This window comes from Homo sapiens, chromosome 12 (genome assembly GCF_000001405.40).
Source record: "Homo sapiens chromosome 12, GRCh38.p14 Primary Assembly".
Taxonomy (NCBI): Eukaryota; Metazoa; Chordata; class Mammalia; order Primates; family Hominidae; genus Homo; species Homo sapiens.
The window spans coordinates 16,003,192-16,030,521 of NC_000012.12; the positions used below are offsets into that span (position 1 = coordinate 16,003,192).

General features: G+C 38.9%; 1 protein-coding gene across 3 annotated transcripts in view, besides 1 other annotated feature; it reads left to right on the forward strand.

Annotated features, from left to right (window-relative positions):
* DERA (deoxyribose-phosphate aldolase) overlaps positions 1–27,330 on the forward strand; it is a 126,050-nt gene that overhangs the window by 91,860 nt on the left and 6,860 nt on the right. The gene's annotated exons all lie outside the window — the stretch shown is intronic.
* Positions 14,465–15,699: an enhancer, noted in NCBI's record as "VISTA enhancer hs798". NCBI's record gives its function as "enhancer in: neural tube[8/9] | forebrain[9/9]" and the evidence as "EXISTENCE:transgenic organism evidence [ECO:0001131][PMID:17130149]".

Below are 27,330 nucleotides of genomic sequence, written 5' to 3' on the forward strand. Positions count from 1 at the left end.
GTCTCTGCCTTTGTGATGATATGGTGTTCTTCATGTTGTATGTCTGTCTCTTCACCTGGTGTTCTTTTTATAAGGACACTAATCATATTGCAGTAGGAGCCTACCGTACTCCATTGCGACCTCATATTGACTAATTATATCTGCAAGCACCCAGGTTCCAAATAAGGTCACATTCTTACATGCTAGGGGTTAGGACTTCCACCTATGAATTTTGGGGGGCTCCAGTTCAATCCACAACAAATGAGTTCAAAATGAGGAAAGCAAAACTGGAGTTCAGAGAGAATCTTTTTGGCTCATTTTGCTTGTGTGCCTAAGGGCTGAGTGTTCGTTTTAGGTAAGAGAGAAACTGTGAGGGGTTAGGGTTTGGGTTAGAGAAGCCTACTACTGTAGGCTAGATGCCAACTAAAAACAACTGCTGGGGGCAGTGGAGAGGGAAGTAGACTGCAGGGTTGATGTAAGAAAAACAGGTGAGTTTGCATTTGTTGGGGGAGCGCCAGGAAACAAGAGTGTCAATTTCTGGCTCATGAGTGAGAAGTATTCCTCCTTAGTTGTGCCTGAGAAGCTCCCAGCTTCCATAACTCCTCACTGCCCCTTCCCCGCAAAACCCTCTTTGTATCACCATCTTGAGATTCCTTATCCAAATTTAAACTCCATTAGTAATTTAAAGCTCTGAGGAAGTTCATCCCAACCTGGAAGAGGAGAGAGGTGTTCTGGGTTGTAGAGCTAGCCACTCAGAGGCATCCGGGCCTTCCTCTGTTTCCTAAAACATCATTGTGCAGAATGCTTAGAAGGGGTTGGTAGGGCTATTCATTAAGTGCAGTAAGAGTAAAACATGCTTTTCTGGGCTGGCTGGGACTTACTACCACATGAAATCTGGAAAAGTACATTCTGATTTCCAGCCGGCTGTGAATTTACAAACTTTTGGAATGCAATCTATTTCTAGGTTGGAGAATGGCATTACTAAACTGCTCAATTTAATAATTAGAGGTAGAAAATATAATTGGTTTATCTTTGTAGTCAAATAGCAATTTCATATATGCAGATAATTTGAATCTGAATGTACAGCCAAGTATTCAAAATATAAATAGATGCAGAGAAAAAATCAAAAGCACATATAATTCCCCCAGACCCTACATAAAGCAAAAGGAACCACTGCAGAAAAGAAAAGAAAAACCCAACTCCTCCTTAACAATTTGTTCTCCCACCAATCTTTGATTTATAAATCTAGAAGCCTCATGTTTTCTGGAATCCTTAATAAAAAATGACTTTTTAAATGTCACAATTCTTAATTTTTCTTAGTACATTGAAAAAAATTAAAGCTAGTAAGGAAAAGAGGCATCCCAGTACTTTCTGACAGAGGAAGAAAGAAAAGGACTAACCACCTTTCTAAATGTTTAATAGTAGTCATATTAACTTATTAAATTGTATGCTCTCAAGAAACAAGTGGGTGTTTATGCATGTATCCTTTGTACGATGACAACAATGACAACAAATGACTTAGTGGGGCTTTGGTTCTTTGTTACATTCTTTTTTCAAAAACCAAGGTGGATTATGTTTATTAAATGTTTTTAAAAATTTAAAAAAATCCTACTAAAAACTAGGAGATACCTTGGGAGTTTCCAAAATCAAGGTTAGGAACCATTGATTTATAAAGATCGTCTGCATATGTGTGTTTCCTAGTTCAAGGAGTTAGAAAACTTTTGATAATTTAATGGGATTTATGAACCTATTTTAAGAGTTAGAGTCTGTGAATAACTAGATAAAGAAGAAACAGAGCAACTGAGGATTTGGTTTTATGCCCTGTAGAGTTCAAATTAAATTTTACTAAAAGGCAGTTTAAAAGTTTAAAAGATTAACTTCTCTTTCATTTCACGCAGTCTACTTCAGAACTAGTCACCATAATGAACTCAACAGACGTGCCCTGGAATGATTTGGAATACTAGAAGAGTTACCGTCAGAGTTGAAAAGGGGCCAAGCACAGTGGCTCATGCCTGCAATCCCAGTGCTTTGGGGAGGCTGAGGTGGGAGGATCGCTTGAGGCCAGGAGTTTGAGACCAGCCTGGGCAATGTAGGAAGACCCTGTCTCTACAAAAAATATTTAAAAATTAGCAGGGCACGGTAAGGCGCACCTACAGTCCTAGCTACTTAGGAGACTGAGATGGGAGGATTACTTGAGTCCAGGACAGGAGTTCGAGGCTGCAGTGAGCTATGATTGCACCACTGGTCTCTAGCCTGGGTAACAGAGAGAAAAAAAATTAAAAAGCTTATTCTGAAGACCAGCTCGCTTCAACCGAGTGAATGAAGAAAGCTTTTATGTTTGGAACTATTTTCTGCTAAAACTGATTTCTGAGTTGTGTTCTGTTAGACAATATCTCAATCAAAACTTCTTTGACAAAAACATCTCATGGTCATGCAAGTTTGGGGAATGCTGCATGAATATACCCCTGCAAGCCATTCACAGTGCACAGGCATTTAGAAAAGACCCTGCAAGTTTACAAAAAGAAAAAACTTCTATATTTTTGGATAAATTCATCATACCAAACTTATTTTAAGTATGGCTAAGTTCTTCTCGTGTATCATTTTTAATATTGAACCAAAGAATAGAGCAAGTGAATAGTTATTAGGTTAAGTCCTGTAGACATAGAAGATTATGCTCTGTGGGAATATAAATTTTTAAGCAGACAAGATTACTATGAACACATAACTGTAAGAGCATAAGCATGCAGGTATAAGTGGTCAATTTTAGAAAACCTTCCTTACAATCTCTTTAAACATCACCCCCTCCCCATTCCTGTGGCCATTGTCTGAAATTCTGCTGTTCGGTCCTTACACTTTCATTTAAGCCTATTAAAAGTTAAGTCTATTTAAAGGATGTAACACGTTCAGCAAATGTGTGGCCTTACTTGTGGAAAACCAGCTAATAGATGATGAGAACTAGATGTGGACTTTGTGAAAATATTCAATAAAAACAAAATCCATTGAGCTGAGACTGTAGGTGACAATCCCTTCCTTACCCTCTCCCCTCTTGCTCCCAATGAAAAGAAGTCAGGACATTTGTCCAACCCAAATCAGAAACCCAAAACCAGAAACCAAGAAAAGAGGAAGTTTTTCTTTAGGCTGAAAATTGCGTTGCCAGTGAGATTTTTTTGTATTAATGCTCTGACTAAAGAAATAGCTGGAAAAAAATAGCAGAAAAATGTAATACAAATTTATGCAGTTAAATGACTGTCTGGGACGAAAATCAAGAAAACAAAGCCCAAACGTTACCTATTAGTTAGTGAGCGGCCCTCATTTATAGTGTGCTGAAACTCAACTACCCTCTCTCCACACTTGGCCCCTCCAGCCCTGCCATCTGGAGACAGAAACCTCATTCATTTCCACACGTCGTACCCGACATGAATTCCTAACCTGTCACCGCTCCTGATCCCACCTCCTAGCTATCCCTCTCTTCTCCAGCATTTTGGACATGTCTCTCAGCATATGTGTCTGCCTATCTCTCAGAATGGAGTATGAGTGTCCACTCAGAGACAGAGACTTATTTATCAGTGCTGAGCACATAGCCTAGAACATGGTAGTCATTCACAGATATTTCTGATGGGACACAATAGTTAAGGAAAGTTCCTAAGAGCTAGGAAATGTAAGCCTGTATTGCTATCAAGAAATTCTGGAAATTCCTTCTTTGGTTACTTTAGGCTTGAAAATATGTCTTCTCCGTGTGTACTTCCACAGCCTTCTCAGCCAGATGGCCTCAGTGGGAGCCTGAAGTGTCATGTAACTGCTTTAGTTTTTAAATATTTGTCACGTTATGTATCAAGCTCTTAGAACAGTACCTCGCCGATAGTAAGTGCTAGATAAGTGTATTAGAGAAAATCTTTAAATAAAAACCCATTTGTTTATACAAATAGGCAATTGCAGCCATAGAGTCATTGTAAAACTTAGTTATGTTCATTATAGACATTTTTTACTCTTTTTGGGGTTTTTTTGTTTTTTTTTTTTTGTTTTTTTTTTTTGAGACAAGGTCTCACCCTGTTGCGCAGGCTGAAGCGCAGTGGCGCGATCTTGGCTCACTGCAACCTCCGCCTCCGGGGTTCAAGTGATTCTTGTGCCTCAGCCTCCTGAGTAGCTGGGATTAAAAGCATGCATCACCATGCCCGGCTAGCTTTTGTATTTTTAGTTGAAATGGTGTTTCACCATGTTGGCCAGGCTGGTCTTGAACTCCTGGCTCCTAGCAGTCCACCTGCCTCAGCCTCCCAAAGTGTTGGGATTGCAGGCGTGAGCCACTGTGCCCCGCCAATAGACATTATTCTTCATTAAAGCTGGTCTAATACAGAATTCATTTAGATTTTGTAAGTATTTATTAAGTTTCTAGTATCCACTTAGTAGAAAGTGGATAGTAGATTGTGCTAGCTGTATGGTCAATATAATGATGGTTAGTGAGGCAGGCATGGCTCTCAAAGAGTATGTAGTTCATTAGGATGGGGGTTGTCTCCCCATGAAGGGCAGGCACATAGAAAAATTTCTCGTTGATTCAGGCCCAGTGTCTTCTTCAGTTAGCTTTTTAAGACTTGTACCTTAGTCTCTTCCTTCATTTTCTACTATTGCTGAAGCTCCTTATATTTTCTGTATATTGATAATGCAGTTTTTTGTTTTGTGTTTTGTTTTGTTTTGTTTTGTTTTGTGACAGAGTCTCATTCTGTCACCCAGGCTGGAGTGCAGTGGCATAGTCTTGGCTCACTGCAACCTCAGCCTGCTGTGTTCAAGCGATTCTCATGCCTCAGCCTCCCTAGTAGCTGAGATTACAGGTGTGTGCCACTGTGTGCCCGGCTAATTTTTGTATTTTTAGTAGAGACAGAGTTTTGCCCTGTTGGCCTGGCTGGTCTTGAACTCGTGGCCTCAGGTGATCTGCCTGCCTTGGCCTCCCAAAGTGCTGGGATTACAGGAGTGAGCCACTGCAACAGGCCAGATAACACAGTTTCTTTTTCTCTGTTTCTTCAGCAACGTGCAGACACATTGGTGTACAGATGCTTCATTCGCTAATGCCTCAGATGGTTGTTTCTCAAACAGGAATCCTACTACTCCGTGGCTTCTCACTTTTAGCTTTTCCTAATATTTCCTAATAGCTTTCTCAAATCTCTCCTGCCTTGGTCCTTTCCTTCCACATTTTATTCAGTTGGACTCTGACTCCTGTCTGATTTGCCAGTGTAGATGGGGTGGGGAATTACCTGCATAGGCATAGCTGGTGGTGTCTTAGGGGTGTCAGCTGCACAGAGCAGAGTGTGTGAGGGAAGGATAACTCGTGTCCCTGGTTGCAGAGTCTGAGTGATCCCCCCAGTAAACTAATGTAGGATATATTTGGATGTCCAGGTCAGCAGAGTGAAAGTAAACAGTCCAGGGTCTGTGCTAGGATTGAGTGTGGCCACAGATAGCACGGAACATGATAACGGTGGCTTAAATTGTTTTTTCTTGTGTAAGAAGGAACTCTGAGGTGTAGCCAGTCACCGCTGTTGGCTCATCATTAGTGTCAGGATTGGGGCCGCTCTTGGCATTTCTCTCGTGGTTACAAGATGGCTGCCACAGCTCCAGTCATGTTTATATTCAGAATAGGAAGAAAAGCAATGAAGGTGCCATTTCGTATTGAAGGAAATAGTTTAACAGGGCTAGGTAGGATTTTGACTGGGAAAGAAAGGACGTAGAGAACTACAAACTTGATAAGGTAGAAACTGCAAAACAATAGCTGGTCTGATGTAGAGGCAGAAGTGCATAGCAGTTAAAAGCCTGGACTTTGAGTTAGAAAAACATGGATTCATGACACTTACAAGCTGTTGTCTTAATGTGTTCCTTAGTCTCTATAAAGTCTTCTTTTCTTAATTGGTAACAGGAGTATCTGCTTTTTAAGGTATTGTGAAGATCAAATTAGGGAAGTTTTAAGGTGAAGCCAAGCACTTAGTAATTTTCAGAAAGGGAGACTTATTCTGTTCCTCCTCCTTCTCTTACTGTTGTATGGTTGTCAATCAGAATGAACTAGAATCTAAGATGCTTTTGGGTGAGTAGCAGAAGAGAACAATGGAATATTGGATTAAATTCAGCCCCTGGAGAGTGGAAATCCTAGGGTTTTATTCTTTTAGCAGGTTTTGTGATGAAAATGTCACCATCAAACCAGTCTTAACTGTTCATCCTATATACAATACTTTTTAGATCTTTATACTTTAAATTTTTCATCATCTTTAGTTTCCATGTATTAAATACAAAAAATTGGGCCAAGTCAACCCAGAAAACCTCTTCTCAAGAGTAAATTTATGATATTTGTGACAAACAACCAAATAAACAGATCTCCAGCATATGTTGACACTGTTCACTGTCTCTAACCCAGTTTCCCAAATGCCTTTTTACTTTGTAGGTTATCATTGTGAATCTCATTTTCCATTTTGGTAATAAATTTAACAGCTGAATTTTTTTCTCACTAAGGTTTTATATTTTTAAGTTATCCATGTATTCATTTTGGATTTTGACATTTAATAACCTTCCTGAAATACATGGGAGAAATTATATCTACAATGTAGAAGACTCTAACATGTACTCTAAGGGGAGGAAATAAATGCCACACTCAAAGCAATTATACAGGAAGTATTAAAGATATTAAATATGTATCAAAAATTTAAAATGCAGGTTTAAAAGAAAGTAGGTAAAAACCCTAACTTTGGCAGTATACATGTTAAGAAACTATTTATATTGTTTTCTGCTGAGCAGAAATCTAAAAACAAATGGCCTTTAAATCAGACCTATTAGTTTTGTAATAGGAAGTTCTGTGAGAGACAGATAAAACCTCTGTATTAAGTGTGCAGTATAACCTATTCATCTGAAATATACATGATTACTGTATGGTTGTGTGTTATTTCCATTTAAGAGTTTTAGTAAAGGAAGCCAAGCCCTTCTGCTGTGAGGGAAATATAGCATGTGAGCATATATATTCGTGGGCAAGGCAGTGCCTTGAAAACAAGTGTGTGGCATCCAGGGAGATCCTAGATGAGTTCTAGTTCATATGCAGAGTGGATCCAGGTTGCGTGCATGCTTAGTATTAATGCATGACTTCTGCAGAGTCTAGGTCAGGACCATTCTTCCTGCCCCCTTCACAACCTTCTCCTTGCTTTCTCCTTGCCTCATGTGTCTTCAGGAATTTGTGAATGATTCTGATATCCCAGTGATATAAAACATGATCTGGCAAAATTTGATGGTGACCTTTTCTGCTTGTACCTTTACCCATAGATGAGGTTTTCCGAGTTCTGCTGCTTTCCCCTTTGCCAGCATATACTGCTTTTGTTGAGGAATCAAGGTCTCCGGTGGTCGCCAAGTGAAAAGGAATAAAGATAAAAATGAAGGCGTGACTAGTTGAAAAATAGAGACAGAATTTTAATGTGAAAATTGTTTATGAACAGAAGGAGAGAGGCTGCATTGTCTCTATAAGTGGTTAGTAAGTGGAGACTGCAGTCACCTAGATGGCCAACCCCAGGGTTCCATATAGTAAATGCTTTCCATTCAGGGCTGTTTGAAAGTTCACCTGTCTATGGATCTGCTAATGGGAAGCACATACGTCTCCAGGTACAGTGAAATAATCACTTGGAGATAAGACTCCCCACAGAAAAATTAACACAACTTCTTTTATGAAAGACAGGTCACTGTAAAAAGAAACTCTACCCACTTATCATCAATTGTTGAAAAAAAAGATTTATGATGACATTGAGGTATGATAATCTCAAATACGTTCTGCATTGTTTTTAAAAGCTTTGTGTTTAAAATTCATAGCACTTTCTAATCCTGATAAAGTAGCCTAATTTTCTAGCTTGCTTTGTTCAGTAAAATGTATTTCTAAATCCATTTTAAGCAGCTATTTCTTCAATTTGAGTAATTTTCTCTCAAGTTAATAGATTCCACACAAGCATACCTGACTTTTAATGTTAATATATACTATATATTCCAAACTTGCTAGTGACAGTAGAAAGCACAATCAAAAGGAAATTCAGTTGTTTAAAGCATATCTGGCTTATTTTGTTAAAATGTTTCTTCATTTTACTCATCTTTGCCAAAGCATAGTGATACCAAATCATATTTTACAGGTTGAATATCCCTTATCTTAAATGCTTGGAACCAGAAGTGTTTTGGATTTTGGATTTTTTCAGATTTCGGAATATTTGCATATGCTTACCCTAACCTGGTTGAGCATCCCAAATCCAAAAATCTGAAATGTGAAATGCTCCAGTGATCATTTCTTTTGAGTATTGTATCAACGGAGTTTCGATTTTGGAGCATTTCAGACGTTCAGATTTGGGATGCTCTACTTGTACCTTGCTTGTATTGAGGTTCCATTTCCCCCTTCCCTCTCAGCAAAAGTAAAAGAAAAGAGAATGTGTTAGATACGATTTTGTCATTTTAACATGAGATGACTTTAAAACTAATCAATGAAAGGCATTTGCCTAACATAGCAAATCCCTTCATCAATAAGGTCAGCTATAGGAACTGGCCAAGAAGGAAAAATATTTTGATTTTGAGGCATTTGGCATGGGTAATTGTATTTACGGATAGATGTTTTCATTTTATACTGAGTCTAAAATACCTTAATATTTTGTTCAAACTATTATACCTATATAATAATAATGCCTGTGGATATTTCTGGCATTTTCTTTTGTTTACAGGGTACTGGCCTAATTGCCATGAGTCTCATTTTTTTTCTTCTCAGCAATGCCACTGGCTCTCTAAAAAACAGAGGATAATGTGATAGAGACAGATAAAGAATTTTTCTAAATTAGGCAATCAAACCAAGAAAAAACACATAAAACATGCATAACTAAGTCAGTGTTTCCTCAAAAGGGGCAGAGTTTGGTAAAGAAAAGCCTTGTCTTGTACACTGCTGTGTATGCACTTTATAGAAAAGTACTAGCATAGAGTGGGTGCTCAGTAAGTGTTAGTTAAATGGATGTTGAAGGGTTGGGAAAGAGAGGAGTTGAGTTGAGCACAGAGATGTGATACAAGTCCTACACAGTCATGAGTTTATAAGTGTAGTTTTAGAGTTACTCCTGTGTATTTGAAAACTGAAAGCAAAGCCAGTTCCAGAACAGGATTAAGGGGCCAGCCAGCTGGGCAGTTTCCCAGTGTGCTAATCTCTAAGAGACATTGAAACCACTGAAAATACTCATGACAGAGGAAACTGTATTTCCTAGAATTTCTCTACTGTCTGTCATTGGGATTAGACATAAGGCATTCCAGGGCTGTGCTCCCCTGTCCCTTAAAGAGATATTCTGTTTTTTTCTAAGGAGGGCAGGTTGAGTTACTTACAGATCTTTTGCATTGCTGAGTGAAATATTCAAATTTGGGAGCAGAGCCGAGTTGTTTAGACAAGAGAGAATAGTCAAGTGCTGTCACAGGGGATCTTCTTATTCTATTCTACCTCTAGGCAGAATTAAGCCTTTTTTCTCAATAAATTTTAAACCAACATTTTAAAGATATTGGTGTAAAATGGTGTCAAATTGTTAACCTACAGAGTGATTACATGTTTTGGTGTCTCATTGAAGCTCTGTAAAAATGCTGTTGAACAGATATATTTAATTTAAAAATTTTTAATAACCACATTAATTAAATGAAGAGAAACAGGTGAAACAGTAATTATATTTTATTTAATAAATCTGCAATATATCATTTTAATGTGTAGTGAATATAAAAATTATTGAGATTTATTACATTGTATTTTTTTGTATTAGTTCCTCAAATCCCCGTACTTCAGTTTAAACTAGCCACATTTCAAGTGCTCAGTAGCTACATATGGTGTGTAACTATCATATTGGACTATGACGTGCAGCCCTAGACAAATCAGTAGAGTCAGTGACTCCCAGTTGGCATCATTGAGCTGGTCCTAAAAGGTCCTTTAACCAGAATTCTCTCTTTGGCCAGTGTGAAATTTCCAGTGTTGATACCAGTCTTTAAAAATCATTTTAAAGAACCATAATTATGAATGTGTTGAAGTATTTTTCTTCAGTAGTAATGCTTAGTTTAATGTGTGACTGCACATGCTGTTCATTTGTGATATGGTTATGCTTTGTATCCCCACCCAAATGTCATCTTGAATTGTAATCCCCATAATCCCCACATGTTAAAGGTGAGACCAGGTGGAGGTAATTGAATCATGAGGGCAGTTTCCCCCATGTTGTTCTTACCATAATGAGTGAGTTCTTAGGAGATCTGATGGTTTTATAAGGAGTTCTCCTACCTTTGCTCGGCACTTCTTGCTGCTGCCTTGTGAAGAAGGTGCCTCACTACCCCTTCACCTTCTGCCATGATTGTAAGTTTCCTGAGGCCTCCCCAGCCATGCTGAACTGTGAGTCAGTTAAACTTCTTTCCTTTATAAATTACCTAGTCTCAGGCAGTTCTTCATAGCATTATGAACATGGATTAATACAGTAAATTGGTACCGAGGTAGTGGGACACTGCTATAAGGATACCCGAAAATGCGGAAGCAACTTTGGAACTGGTTAACAGGAAGAGGTTGGAACAGTTTGGAGGGCTCAGAAGAAGACAGGAAGATGTGGGAAAATTTGGAACTTCCTAGAGACTTGTTGAATGGTTTTGACCAGAATGCTGATAGTGATTTGGACAATGAAGTCCAGGCTGAAGTGGTCTCAGGTGGAGATCAGGAACTTGTAGAGGACTGGAGCAAAGGTCACTCTTGCTGTGCTTTAGCAAAGAGACTGGTGGCACTTTGCCCCTGCCCTAAAGATCTGCGGAACTTTGAACTTGAGAGAGGTGATTTAGGGTATTTGGCAGAATAAATTTCTAAGCAGAAAAGTGTTCAAGAGGTGACTGGGTGTTCTTAAAAGCATTCAGATGTATGCCTTCACAAGGAGATCATTTGGAATTGGAACTTAGTTTAAAAGGGAAGCAGAGCATAAAAGTTTAGAAAATTTGCAGCCTGATGATGTGATAGAAAAAAACCCACTTTCTGAGGAGAAATTCAAGCCAGATGCAGAAATTTGCATAAGTAACGAGGAGCCAAATGTTAATCACCAAGACAGTGGGGGAAATGTCTCCAGGGCATGTCAGAGATCTTCATGGCAGTCTCTCCCATCACAGGCCAGAGGTCTAGAAGGAAAACATGGTTTTGTGGGCCAGGCCTAGGGCCTTGCTACTTTGTATAGTCTCAGGACTTGGTGCCCTGCATCCCGGCCGTGGCTAAAAGAAGCCAATGTACAGCTCAGGCCATTGCTTCAGAGAGTGTAAGCTCCAAGCCTTGGTGGCTTCCACATGGTGTTGGTCCTGCAGGTGCACAGAAGTCAAGAATTGAGGTTTGGAAACCACCACCTAGGTTTCAGAGGATGTATGGAATCGCCTGGATGTCCTGGCAGAAGTTTACTGCAGAGGGGAGCCCTCGTGGAGAACCTCTGCTAGGGCAGTGTGGAAGGGAAATGTGGGGTTGGAGTCTCCACACAGAGTCCCCACTGGGGCACTGCCTAGTGGAGCTGTGAGAAGAGGGCAACCGTCCTCCAGACCCCAGAATGGTAGATCCACCAACAGCTTGCACCGTGGGCTTGGAAAAGCCACAGACACTCAATGCTAGCCCGTGAAAGCAGCCAGGAGGGGTACTGTACCCTGCAAAGCCACAGGGGTGGAGCTGCCCAAGACCATTGGAACCCACCTCTGCATCAGCGTGACCTTGATATGAGACATGGAGTCAAAGGAGATCTTTTTGTAGCTTTAAGATTTGACTGCCCTCCTGGATTTCAGACTTGCATGGGGCCTGTAGCCACTTCATTTTGGCCAATTTCTCCCATTTAGAACAATTGTATTTACAATGCCTGTACCCCAGTTGTTTCTAGGAAGTAACTAACTTGCTTTTGGTTTTACTGGCTTATAGGTGGATGGGACTTGCCTTGTCTCAGATGAGACTTTGGACTTGGACTTTTGGGTTAAAACTGGAATGAATTAAAACTTCGGGGGACTGTCGAGAAGGCATGATTGGTTTTGAAATGTGAGAGGGACATGAGACTTGGGAAGGGCCAGGGGCAGAATGATAGGGTTAGGCTTTGTATCCCCACCCAAATCTCATCTTGAATTGTAATCCCCATAATTCCCACATGTCAAGGAAGAGACCAGGTGGAGGTAATTGAATAATGGGGGTGGTTTCACCTATGCTGTTCTTGTGACAGGAAGTTCTCACGAGATCTGATGGTTTTATAAGTGGCTCGTTACCCCTTCACTTGGCACATCTCCTTCTTGTCCCTTTGTGAAGAAGGTGCCTAGCTTCCTTTTCATCTTCTGTCATGATTGCAAGTTTCCAGAGGCCTCCCCAGCCATGCTGAACTGTGAGTCAATTAACACCCTTTCCTTTATAAATTACCCAGTCTTGGGCAGTTCTTTATAGAGGTATGAAAACGGACTAATACAATTTGGTCAACCTTATCTATGGAGTGAAGTATCATCAATAGATAACTATCTATTTAAACCAATGACGGGTTACATCTTGTTGATTAGAGAGGAGGCCTGGATTATGGATGTCATATTTGGCAGCTAATGGGAAACCATGTCCAGAGAAGATGAGGAACAACTTTAAAATATAAATTCAGGGAAAAGAGTAAAGGTACAAATTGATTATATGTGTTTGCCATTTGTCAGCTAATGATACTTTTCCTTGTAGTTACTTTTACTAGGCAATTTTTTTTCCTCCTTTCTCCCTCATGAACTCACTTGCTGTGTTCCTTTTTTTAAATTGAGATATAATTTATGTACAATAAAGTTTACCCTTTAAACTGAAGTTATGGTGAACCCTCTTCAGGCGGTTTTAGTATTCTCACAAAGTTGTGCAGCCATCTCTTTGCTCCCTTTCTCACATGGGTAGCTAATTATCCTTGGATCATGTAAGCATGACTTTGTGGAATCATAGTCTGCAGATTTAGTATTAGTATCAAATTGATATCTCTAAAGGGGCTTTCTGCTTCCATATTTACTCTGGCCAGTGCTTCAACCATAACACTGGATCTTTATTATATTGCTCCAAATCAGAGCCTTTGTTTTAATTACAAATCTTCTAGGGCTCCCTTCACATAACTCTCCTTCCTTGACAGACATACTCAGAAAAGGGGAGGGGAAGGGGAGAAGTGCAGCATTATTTTGGAGAACCCATATTTGAATTGTTCTCTATGTAGATATTTAAAAACACCCTCAGGAGAACTAATACAATATTAAAAATTAGAGAAGTGGTCTTGTAAACACTTGAATTAAATAACCCTTTCTTTTTTCCAAATGCGTTAAAACCCAAAACCTTACAGTTGTTTGAAAGATTAAACAAGTTGGGTGTGGTGGCTCATGCCTGTAATTCTAGCACTTTGAGAGGCCGAGGTGGGCAGATTACTTGAGCTCAGGAGTTCGAGACCAGCCCAGACAACATGGTAAAACCCCATCTCTACAAAAAAATTAGCTGGTGTGGTGCTGTGCACCTGTACTCCCAGCTACGTGGAGGGCTGAGGCAAGAGGATCTCTTGAACCCAGGAGGTCAAGGCTGCAGTGAGCCATGATTGCACCACTGCACTCCAGCCTGGGCGACAGAGTGAGACCCTGTCTCAAAAAAAAAAAAAAAAAAAAAAAAAAAGAAAGAAAGATTAACTTAAACCCACTCTAAAAATAGAAGTTATGTACTTTGATTAGTAACTTATTTCTGGCATTACTACAGTTCATTTTGAACACCTTAAGTTTTAAAAGGAAAGGGAACATCTGACTTACTGGACATACTCAAGGACTTTTGTTTCAATCAGGTGCTTGTTTCGATCAGGTGCGTCTACCAGTATTTTGAAGGGTTTGCATAATTATGCAGAATCTTCTCCTAGTCAGTAACCAAGGATTATACAGTCAGAGTCCCCACTTTGTATTCCACTTAAATCATACTGTTTTGCATTATTTTAAATGGTTGCAACTTTATTTTTATTGAGGGGAAGGCATCCGGAAGAAATGTGGTTATCATAAGATCATCTTTCCTTTGGGGCATTGGAGATATTTTCCAACCCTAAAATTGTGATTTCTTTCTGACTGCCATTATGCTTAAACAAGCATCATTGCTTAGTTATCGTGTTCTATTGCATTGCTAACGTGATGGACTGGACCGACAGAGAATTACTCTGTAGCTCACTATTCAGATTGGAAGAAAGCACTGGAAAGAGCAGGTGTTTGAATTTTTCATTTTTCTTCTTATGCTTTTCTTTCTCTCTTTCTCTTTACCCCCTTTCTCACATGGGTAGCTAATTATCCTTGGATCATGTAAGCATGTCTTTGTGGAATCACAGTCTCCAGATTTAGTATTAGTATCACATTGATACCTCCAGAGGGGCTTTCTGCTTCCATATGTACTCTGGCCAGTGCTTCAACCGTAACACTGCATCTTTATTATATTGCCCTAAGTGATTTCCAAACCTATGTTGAACAAAAGAATACAATATTGAAGACTTTTAATTTGAGGGCTTATATCTTTGCATACCCTGCTTAATTTTTTTCCAAGTGTCCCATTGCAGATTGCAAGTATAAGTTAGTGTCGGAATTACCATACGAAACTCTCTTTCTAACTTTAATCGGTAATTTCTCAGCAATAGAAAACATGATGCTAATGAATAATGTACCCAAAAGCTCTTATTATAGGGTTGGTATGAATTCCACTTAATGACAAGCTTTCTCAAGCAGCAGTTGATTTGAAATCCTACTTTTCATTAGTGAAGTATAAAATGTTAATAATACCTTCCACTGTGCTGTTCTTTTGTAGCATAGCAGCATATATCTTCCCTGTTCACCATGGACTCTTTTTAAGATCTTACTAGTAACTTCCTATAACATAAATAAGATTTGTTCAAGAAATAAAAATGTGTGTTTTCCCATTGTTAGCTATATGTTTTTCTAATAATCACATCCGAAGCTTATTATACAGTAGTAGCCTTAAGATATTATTTTTTTAAATATACTACTTTGGTCTTAATACTAGTTTTTAATCTCTTCTTGTTTCTATGAAGTCTGAATGAGATTTTCAAAATTGAATAATAATTTGATCCGTTAATCTTTTGAAGCTAGTAATTTTATTTTCCTCTCTTTGCAGTCTCTGAGGTTCGCAAATGAATAGAGCTTCATTATTGCAGTCTGCATTTAATAACAATTATCCATTATCTTGTAATTAAGACTCCCTGTAACGAATCATGAGGACAATGCAAAAATACATAGTACATTTCTTTAATGAACTGGAAAATGTTCATCTTGTTCTATTTAGTAATGAGTTGCTGAATAGTCATTAAATCCACTGGAGAATAGAGCTAGATGGATTTTGAAGACTGTCTTGAGTTTGTGGTTAATCTATTAGAATTAAAATTTCATCTTCTATTTTTATCAACAGCTGATTAGAAGTCATTCTGTTTGACCAAATTGATTAGAAGACCATATACAAGGGCAGCTGTTGTTTAATGAAAGTTTTTAATGAAACTGTACCATGGAGACTTGTAATTATAGTCCTTAGAAAAGCTTTGAGTTGCCTTAGACCACAAAAATAGTATTGTGCTAAAGATTTCAAATTAGGAAAATAAAAAATACAATTTAATATAATACTATAAATTTATTATTAATTTTAATTTCAACTAATCACAGTTGAATATTAGTCTACTTAGTGTGTTCCTTTTGACTTTTTCAGCCCTTTCATCTCTTAGTTTAGTCATTTAGTTGAAATTGTGGGCACTGATGAAAGAACATTTATAGGGATAGCTATTGTAATTTGAGATATTTTCTCATAAGATTTTTGTCCCCAAGCTGAGCAGAGGTAAGCTTGGCTAATGTTAGATTTATGTGAGCTCTGAAGAGAGTCTGTAGTGCTGTGTGGTGTTGGTAATTCAAAATGTAGCATTTATTTCTCTAAAGTAATTTCGTTTTAGCAGAAGGGCAAAGGAAGCAATGTTAAAATGAGAAGTAAAACAAAAGTGTGTCCTACTTAGTCCCATTGGAAAATCCATTTTTCTTTTGACAGCAGTAAAGTAATGATGTACTTTCTAAAATATTTTGTGTAATTAAAGCTAGGTCTTATTCCTCACTTAAAAAATAGCCAGTGTCTGCATGCCTGAACTATTTTTAATATCTTGTGGTCTCTGACTCTCAATTGTCCTTTCTCAACACATCCAATACAGACACTAAATTTAGCATCTTAAAACACTGATTTCATGTGATCAGACCTCACATTACCTAAAGAACAGAGCCCAATGTCTGTGGGTTCAAAGCTCTCTATAATATTTTCCTAAGGGATATTTACAGTCACATCTTCTAAAACATACATTCATATATCTGTGTATATGTCCCTCCTCCCACCTCACCTCCAACACAGACTTCTTAGATGTATTCTTTCATTATTTGGTATGCCATATACTTTCTTTGCTTTTGGTGTTTCTTTTTATGGTGGTGTTCTTCCATGTGTGCCCTCTCATCTTTAAATTTTGTCTCTCCTTGAAGGTCTGTAACACATTCCATCTGTTCCATGAAGCCTTCCCGTATTATTCTAGCTAAAGTTATTTCTCTGATCCTTTGTAATTCTTATTGATCATAATACTTACTGGGCATATGATATAGTTTGGATTTTTGTCCCTTCCAACTCACATGTTGAAATGTGATTCCCAGTGTTAGAGATGGGGCCTGGTGGGAGGGGATTGGATCATGGAGGTAGATCCTTCATGAATGGCTTTAGCACCATCCCTTTTGGTGATGAGTGATTTCTTGCTCTGAGCTCACATGAGATCTGGTTTTTTAAAAGAGCATGGCACCTCCCCGCATCTCACTCCCACTCTCGCCATCTGACATGCCTGCTCTCTTTGCTTTCTGCTGTGATTGTAAGCCTCCCAGGAGCCTCTCTAGGAGCAGATCCAAGCACCACACTTACTGTACAGTCTGCAGAATTGTGAGCCAATTAAACCTCTTTTCTTTATAAATTACCCAATGTATTAGTCCACAGGCTGTGCAGGAAGCATGGCTGGGGAGGCCTTAGGAAACTTTTAGTCATGGTGGAAGAGGAAGCAGGCATGTCTTAAATGGCTGGAGCAGGAAGAAGAGAGAGGAGGGGAGGTGCTACACACTTTTAAACCACCAGATCTCATATTAACTCACTATTGCGAGAACAGCACGAAAGGGGAAATCTACCCCCATGATCCAATCTCTTCCTACCAGAGACACCTGAACATTGGGGTGGGGGTTACAATTTGACATGAGATTTGGGCAGAGACACAGACCTAAACCATATCACTCAGCCTCAGATATTCCTTTGTAGCAATGCAAGAATGGACTAACACAGAAAACTGATACCAGGAGTGGTGTGTTGCTATAAAGATAGCTGAAAATGTGGGAGCAGCTTTGGAACTGGGTAATGGAGAGGTTGGAAGAGTTTGGAGGGCCCAGAAAAAGACAGGAAGATGAGAGAAAGTTTGAAACTTATGAGAGACTGGTTAAATGGTTGTGAGAAAATGCTGACAGAAATATAGACAATGAAGTCAAGGCTGAGGAGGTCTCAGATGGAAATGAGGAAGTTATTGAGAACTGGAGTGAAGGTCACCCCTGTTATGTCCTAGTAAAGAACTTGGCTGCATTATGTTCATGCCCTAGGGATCTGAGGAAATTTGAATTTAAGGGTGATGAACTAGGGTATCTGGAGGAAGAAATTTCTAAGCAGCAAAGCATTCATGATGTGGCCCGGCTACTTCTAACAGCCTACAGTCACATGCTGGAGCAAAGGAATTACTTAATGTGAGAACTTATATTTAAATGGGAAGCAGAGTATAAAAGTTGGGAAAATTTGCAGCCTTTCCCTGTGGTAGAGAAGGAATTCAAGCAGGCTGTGGAGCAACTGCTTGCTAGAGAGATTAGCTTGTCTAAAAGGGAGCCAAGTGCTCATATATAAGACTGTGGGGAAAAGACTTGAAGGCATTTCAGAGGTCTTCGAAGCAGCCCCTGCCATCAAAGGCCCAGAGGCCTAGGAGGAAAGAATGGTTTTAGGGGACAGGCCCAGAGCCCTACTGCCTTGCACAGCCTCAGTATGCTGCCACCAGAATCCTAGAAGCCTCAGCTGAAAGGACAACTGATACAGCTCAGGCTGCTGCTGTGGAGAGTACAAGTTGTAAGCCTTGCTGGTTTCTATGTGATGTTAAGCCTTGAGGTTCATGGAATGCAAGAGTGAAGGGGGTCTGGCAGCTTCCATGTAGATTTCAGAGGATGTGTCAGAAAGACTGGGTACCCAGGCAGGGATTCTCTACTAAGGCAGTGCTGAAGGGAAATGTAGGGTGGAGCCCACACAGAGTCTCCACTGCAGCGCTGTCTTAGTGGAATTGTGGGAATGGGGCTGCCACTCTCCAGACCCCAGAATGGTAGAGCCACCAGCAGTTTGCAACTACCACATGGAAAAGCCACAGGGCAGAGCTTTCCAAGGACTTAGGAGCCCACCTCTTTCACCAGTGTGCCCTGGATGCAGGACATGGAGTCAAAGGAGATTATTTTGGAGCTTTAAGACTTAATGACTGCCCTGCTGAGTTTGGGGCTTGTATGAGGCCTATAGCGCACCCCTCCCCCTTTTTTGGCTGATTTCTCCCTTTGGGAATGGTAATGTTTACCCAGCACCTTTGCCACAATTGTATCTTGGAAGTATAACTTGTTTTTGATCTCAGGCTGACAGGTGGAAGGAACTCATCTCCAGATAAGACTTTGGACTTTAGACTTTGGCATTTTTGAGCTAAGGCTGGAACAAGTTAAGACTTTGCAGAACTGTTGACAGGGTATTACTGTGTTTTGCAATGTGAAAAGGACATGAGATTTGAGAGACCAGACGCAGAATGATATAGTTTGGATGTTTGTCCCCTCCCAATCTCATGTTAAAATGTAATCCCCAATGATGGAGGCAGGGCCTGGTGGAAGGTGTTTGGATCATGGTAGTAGATCCCTCATGAATGTCTTAGCACCATCCCCTTGGTGATGAATGAGTTCTCACAAGATCTGGTTGTTTAAAAAGAATGTGGCACCTTCCCTCTCTCTCTCTTGCTCCTGCTCTTGCCATGTGACATGTGTGCTCCCTCTTTGCCTTCTGCCATGATCGTAGGCTTCCCAAGGCCCTTACCAGGAGCCAATCCTGATACAACACTTCTTGTACAGCCTGAAGAACTGTGAGCTAATTAAACTTCTTTTCTTTATAAATTACCCAGCCTCAGGTATTCCTTTATAGCAATGCAATAATGGACTAACACAGCATATGTTCAGAAACACCATAACTACCAGATACATTCTTATTTCCCCCCACACCTAATCTCTAGACAATAAAGGCTTGGCTTGATATTTAAGGACTTCCAGTTTCAGCTTTAACATATAAAGAGCTTGGAAGTTGTCACTCCTGTCCTTAGAGCAAGAAAAAGCAGAATTAACTGAAAATGAGTGACTTTTCTCAGACCCATCAAAGACCTGAGGTCGCAAGGTAAACTGTCAGCTTGAAATCCAGAGAGACAGATAAATCCTGAGCGTCTCAGCTGAAATTTGCTTACCTGGAGCAGAAGCTACTAGAACCAAAACCTAGTAGGAACACTTAAATGGTAATTTTGACAAATTACTGGAGGCTGAGTGTGGCCCCCACTCTTTTTTGGGTTTTACCTCCAAGAACCCCACCAGGTTCTCACAGTGAAGAGCCAAAGAAGGTCCCTTCTTGGCTCTGGCAGGAGAAGGAGAAGATAATCATTGTGCAATATGCCCAGCATATTCCCTATAGTAAAGCCTACTCTAGGACAAAATACTAAGTCTTTTCCCGCTTGAGAGAAGGGCATTTCCTCTCTAGTCTTTCTGTCTCATCAAAATGGGCGGAGAAAAGCTAAGAAACATTTGTGACAGTTACAGCCCAGGGACACAGGACCACTGAAAGACTGAGATTTAATACTAAGGCTATAGAATACTCCTCCCTCATCTGTTACCACCACAGCAACATGGTTTCAGTATAAGATTACAGCTGACAGAGCTAAAATACATAGGCTCTCTGAAGAGGAATTTTAGGGAAGCCCAGAATAAAGAGGGGAGATAAAAACAAGAATACTATAGAAATTTGAAGACTATGGCAGCTACAGCAAACCTTAAACACAGCCCAACTCCTTGCCCGATTAACATAAAACCTTACACCAAAGGCCCATTTGTTTTTGTTCATGTTACCCAATATATCATGCATAGCTTTCAACAAAAAATACATTGGATGCTAGAGGCAAGAAAAAAAACTCAAAGTCTTTTTTTTTTTTTTTTTTTTTTGAGACGGAGTCTCGCTCTGTCACCCAGGCTGGAGTGCAGTGGCGGGATCTCGGCTCACTGCAAGCTCCGCCTCCCGGGTTCACGCCATTCTCCTGCCTCAGCCTCCCAAGTAGCTGGGACTACAGGCGCCCGCCACTACGCCCGGCTAATTTTTTGTATTTTTAGTAGAGACGGGGTTTCACCGTTTTAGCCGGGATGGTCTCGATCTCCTGACCTCGTGATCCGCCCGCCTCGGCCTCCCAAAGTGCTGGGATTACAGGCGTGAGCCACCGCGCCCGGCCTCAAACAGTCTTTATAGAGAAAACAAGTATCAGAATCAGATTCAGATATGGCATAGATTTGGGAATTATCTGACAGAGAATTTAAAATAACTATGACTAGTATGTTAATAGCTTTAATGAAAAAACAGACAACATGAAAAAAGATGCATAATAGAATCAGAGAGATGGAAACTAAGTAAGAATTGAAAGGAAATGCTAGAAATCAGAAACACTGGGACAAAATGAAGAATGCTTTTGATGGGTACATCAGTAAGCTGGAAACTGCTGAGGAAAAAAATCAGTGACCTTAAAGATAGGTCAATAGAAACTTCTTAAACTGAAATGTGAAGAGAAAAAACTGGGAAGAAAAACCCCCACAGAACAGAACATCCAAAAACTTTGGGACAGTTTCAAAAGGCATAACATATGGTGTATAATTGGAATACTAGAAGACGAAAGAAAATAGAGCAGACAACATATTTGAAGTAATGGCCAGGAACTTTCCAAAATTGATGTGAGACACCAAACCACAGATCCAGGAAGCTCAGAGAACACCAAGTAGGACAAGTATTTAAAAACTGTGCACCTAGACATATTATAGTCAAATTGAAGAAAACCAAAGACAAATAGAAAATCTTGCAAAAAGCCAGAGAAAGAAAACACTTTTCATTGAGAAGAAAAAATTACTACAATGGACTTCTCATTGGAAAACATGTCAGCGTGGAGTGAAATACTTAGAAGGGTTTAAAGAAAAAAGCAAAAACAAAAACCCAACAACATGGAATTCTGTGTTCAATGAAGCTATTTTTCTAAATTGAAGGAGCTCAGACAAACAAAAACTGAAGTAATTAATTGCCAGCAAAGCTTCCCAAGGCTTCAGAGAGCCTGTGTATTTTAGCTCTGTCAGCTGTAATCCACTCTTATTACGCTGTAATCCACTCTTATTACACTGAAATGTTAAAACAAGTTTCTCAGGGAGAAGAAAACTTATATAGATCAGAAGCTTTGATCTGCATTTAAAAAGGAAGCGCATTAGAGAAGGAGTAAATGAAAAATAAAAATAAATTTTTAACTGATTTAAAAGATAACAATTTAAAGTAATAATATAACAATTTATTGAATTGTTATATTACCAGATAGGTAAGCTGAAATGAATGACAGCAGTGTTATAAGACACAGGAGAAAAGAATTGGGAATACTTTGTTAAAATGTACCTGCAGTACCTATGTAGTGGTATAGTGTTATTTGAAGGTGGACTTAGTTAAAAATGTATATTGAAAACTCTAGGGCAGTCACTAAAATATGTACAAAAGTATGATTGATATGAGAAGAGATAAAATGGAATAATATAAAATGCTCAATTAAGCCAGGAAAGGCAGAAAAATAGGTGTCAAAATTAACCAAAAAAATGCAACAAATGGAAAAGTAATAAACATGGTATATATTAATTTGACTACATCAGTAATTAGTTTAAATGTTAGTAGTCTAAATATGCCAATTAGAAGATAGAGATGATAAAAAATCAAGATCCTACTATATGTTGTCTGTAAGAAAGCCACTTTAAATGTGAAGACTCAGAAGGTTAAAAATAAACAAATAGGAAAGATGCACCATGCTAACACTCATCAAAGTAAAGTGGGAGTAGCTATATGAATTTCACACAAAGCGGACTTCAGAAAAAGGAACACTATCAGCGATAAAAAAGGATATTTTATAATGATGAGGGGGTCATTTCTCAAGGAAGACATAACAATCCTATGTATGTATGCACCTAGCCACAGAGCATCAAAATATGAGGCAAAAATTTTATAGAACTGAAAAAAAGAAATAAACAAATCTACTATTGTAGCTGGAAACTTCAAAGCTCCTCTTTTAGTCACTGATGGCTGAAGCAGGCAGAATAACAGCAAGGATATAGTTGACCTGAACAGCACTGTCATTCAATATGATCAAATTAACATTTATAGAAAACTTCATCCAACAACAGCAGAATACATATTCAATGTTCACATGGAACATTAACCAAGATAGACCACATTCTGGTCCATAAAACACACCTTGACAGATTTAAAAGACTGAAAATCACACAAAATATGTTCTCAGACCACAATGGTACTAAGCTAGAATTCAATAGCAGAAAGTTAGCTGAAAGATCCCCAAATGTTTGGAAATTAAACAACACACTCCTAAATAACATATGGGTCAAATAAGTCTCAAGAGAAATTTTAAAATACTTTGAACTAAATGAAAATAAAAATACACCACCAAAATTTGTAGGATGTTCCAAAAGCAGTGCTTAGAAAGAAATGTATGGCATTAGATGCATATATTAGAAAAGAATAAAGTCAATATGCAAGCTTTCATCTTAGGAAAGTAGAAAAAGAAGAGCAATTTAAGCCTAAAGCAAACAGGAGGAATAGAAATGAGAACAGAAATGATGAAATTGAAAACAAAAACAACAGAGAAATTTTTTTTTTTAAATATCCTAAAAGCTACTTTTTTTTTTCTCCCCCCGTAAGATTGGTAAACAGCTAGCTAGGCTAATCAAGAATAAAAGAGAAAAGACATAAATTACCCATATCGGAAATGAAAGAAGGGTCATCTCCTCTTCCCATGGATATTAAAAGGATTATAAAGGAATGTGTGAACAGCTCTATTTTCACAAATTTGATAACTTAGGTGAAATGGATCAATCCTCAAAAGACATAAACAACCAAAACTCACAAGGAGAAATAGTCTGAATAGGTCTATATCTATTAAAGAAATTATTTAAATTTAATTTAATTTCTTTTATAAAATATTTAATGTGACTTTTACATAAATTGTAAATATATTTACACATTTATGTAAATATATAACATATTTTAATTATATAAAATTATTTATTTAAAAATTTAACAAATTACTAAAAACTATTTATAACCTTCCAAAAGAAAGCACCAGCTCTAGATGGCTTCATTGGTGAATTCTGCCAAACATTTAAGGAAGATATAATACCAGTCTTCTACAATCTCTTCCGGAAAATAGAAGAGAGAACACTCATTCTGTGAGACAATTACTCCAAAACCATTACTCCAAAACCAGATAAAGACACTGCCAGAAAGAAAACCTATAGATGAACATCTTTAATGAACATACATATAAAAATCCTTAACAAAATATTAGCAAAATGAGTCCAACAATGTATAAAACTAATTATATGCCACAACCAAGTGTGATTTATTCCAGGTATGCAAGTCTGGTTCAACATAATGTAATCCATATCAGTAAGCCAAAGAAGAAAAATCATATGATTATATCAATTGATACTGACAAGGCATCTGACAAATTCCAACACCCATTTATAAGAAAGCCTCGGCAAACTAGAAATAGAGGGAAATATCTTCAACTTAATAAAGAACATCTGCAAACAAACCTCAGCCAACATACTTAATATTGAGAAATTGCGTGCTTTCCTCCTAAGATCCTCTTAAGGATAAGGCAAGGATATTCTCTCTTACCACTGCTATTCAACATTGTACTGGAAGTCCTAGCTAGACAAGGAAAGGAAATAAAATGTGTACAGGTCAAGAAGTTTGGTAGGCTAAAGATGACTCCTGAAGATAGGTTCACATCCTAATCCCTGGAACCTGTGAATGTTACCCTCTTTGGGAAAAAGAGCTGTTGCAGGTGTGATTGATTTAAAGGTCTTGCAGTGAGGTGATCATTCTGGATTATCCAGATGGGCTGTAGAAGGCATCATGACAAGTGTGTAAGAAAGACTCAGAGGGAGATTAGACTCATAAACAAAAGACTGTATGAAGACAAAAGCAGGAATTGGAGTGATGCAGCTGAGAAATGCTGAAAGCCATTAGAAGAGGCAAGGAACAGATTATCCCTAGAGTCTCCACAGAGAGTATGGCTCTGCTGACACTTTTATTTTGGATTTCTGGCCTCCAGAATGGTGAGAGAATACACTTCTGTTGTTTTGAGCCACCAAGTTTGTGATCCCTTGTTACAACAACAATAAGAAACAGGTATGAGAAGAAAGATATAAAACTGTCTTTGTTTACAAACATGATCGTAGAAAATCCCCCCAAATCAACAAACTCCTGAAATTGCTAAATGAGTTTACCAAGGTTGCACGATGCATGGTTAATATACAAAATTCAGTTGCTTTCCTGTCTAGCAGCAGTGTACAATTGGAATTTGAAATTTAGAAAACTATTTGCAAAAGCATCCAGTATCCATGGATTCCATATATTTACAGATATGTGTATATAAATGCATTAATATACACAGATATATTTCCCTGCTCAGTCAGCTAGGAGAGCTAAAAGCAAGAACACTAGAGCAGCAGTGAGCATACCTAGCACCCATATAGTGGTTTCCAATACCATTCTCCAGTAAAAGGAGCCAGGGCTCATTGGAGAAATGGCTTATACCAGGACTGGTGCAGAAAACACACAAGATAAGCCCTGAGCATCTTCTAGTCTCAGAAAGTAAGTGCTTAAAAAACAGAAAAATCCACATGATGCAAAGGCATACAGGAAGCAACTGAAAGAGCTCCCAGTGGCCAAAGCTGGAACCGTGTGAACAATAAAATAAATAAGGTAGTGAGGAATTATAAACCCAAGTGTAAAATAAATATCTTCAAGTGTATACTGATATTAAGTAAATTATTTTAAATTTTAAAATGGAGAGGACACAAACCTTCCCATATAAAATTCCAAGTAATTATGTAGCCAAGCCCCTGCTCGAGGAGGTGGATTATAACTTCCCACTCCTTAAATGTGGGATACCCATAATGACTTCTTTTCAAAGAGTACAGTATGAAAAATGGGGGAAAAAGATTAGCTTTACAGTGGAGAAACCGAGCCAACACTAACTACCTCAGCCAAGTGCTCATGGTCAACATCAACAGTGGTAAATCATGGTGCTAGTATGTGCCCTTGACATAATGTGATTAACATAGCAGTTTCCCTCTATGGTCTTACCAAACCTATAACCTCAGTCCAGTGATGAGAAAAACATTTAACAAATCCCAATTGAGGGAGGGAGAGTATTTTGAGAATACTGACCAGTACTTTCAAAACTGTCAAGATCATCAAAATAAAATAAGAAGAATCTAAGAAACTATCACAGCCAAGAGCAATCTATGGAGGCCTGACAAATGTAGTATGCTAGATGGGATTGGTTATTGAGTCATACTAAAAAAAATCTATAAAGTGTGGACTTTGGTTAATAGTATATCAGCATTGGTTCCTTAATTGTTACAAATGTACCATAATTATATAAGATAGTAATAATAGGGAAAACTGGGTGTGGGGTATATGGAAACTCTGTATTATCGCTGTAATTTTTCTGTATATTGAATTTTGTTCTAAAACTAAAAGATTATTTAAAAATAAACAAACTGGCCGGGCGCGGTGGCTCACGCCTGTAATCCCAGCACTTTGGGAGGCTGAGGTGGGCGGATCACGAGGTCGGGAGATAGAGACCACGGTGAAACCCGGTCTCTACTAAAAAATACAAAAAGTTAGCCGGGCGTAGTGGCGGGCGCCTGTAGTCCCAGCTACTCGGGAGGCTGAGGCAGGAGAATGGCGTGAACCCGGGAGGCGGAGCTTGCTTGCAGTGAGCCGAGATCGCGCCACTGCACTCCAGCCTGGGTGACAGAGCGAGACTCCGTCTCAAAATAAATAAATAAATAAATAAATAAATAAACAAACTATTTTGTTCTGAGCCACCAGCCCAGTTTTGTTACTGGGACTGGAATGAAACACAAGATTATTTTCCCTTCTTCATTAGTCAGTTAAAGGTGGAAAATACTGTAGTTTTTTTTTTCTTGGTAGCTGTGTCCATCCATCTAGAAATTATTTATTGAGCTTCTCCTGTGTGTCGTGCTCTGAGGATACAGAAGAGTATAAGAAAGATGCAGCACCTGCCCCTAAACGTCCAGAAAGGGGCATAGACATGCAAATAATGTGTAGGCCACTGTAGCTACTGCTGGGCTACTGTTGCTGCCATAGTAGATCTTCTGCTTTGCTCTCCCAAATATATTAGAAAGAGAGTGTCCACCCCGCCCTTCTGAAGGAGTTTGGTTCTTTTGATTAACTTTAGATGGTGTGGTTTTTAAGAGATCATGCCTTGTTTTCAGACCTCCAAATGTAGCCTTGGTCTTTTTTTTTTTTTTTTTTTTTTTTTTTGAGATGGAGTCTCACTCTGTTGCCCAGGCTGGAGTGCAGTGGCACAATCTCGGCTCACTGCAACCTCCACCTCCCAGGTTCAAGCAGTTCTCTTGCCTCAGCCTCCCGAGTAGCTGGGACTACAGGCACCCACCACCATGCCCGGCTAATTTTTTTTTTTTTTTTGTATTTTTAGTAGAGATGGAGTTTCGCTATGTTGGCCAGGCTGGTCTTGAACTTCTGACCTTGTGATCTGCCAGCCTCGGCCTCCCAAAGTGCTGGGATTACAGTTGTGAGCCACCACGTCCAGCCAGTAGCCTTGGTCTTCTGTCTTAATCTTCTCTTCCAAGATGCTTAAGATAATTTAGGTGATATCCATTATTATACCCAAAAGCCTTCTAGTGAATCAAAAGATGCCACATATTAGAAAAACACATCTTGATATCATTATGGATTCTTTGGGGGATGTTTCCCTCACCTTCTTACATCTATGTGGAGGCTTTAATCTCTTCTTTTTGATTGTCTCATTTTTGATGTTGTAGGCATCAGGCACCTGTTCTATAGTCTGTTCATCTATGCATTTATTAATGAACTTAGTATAT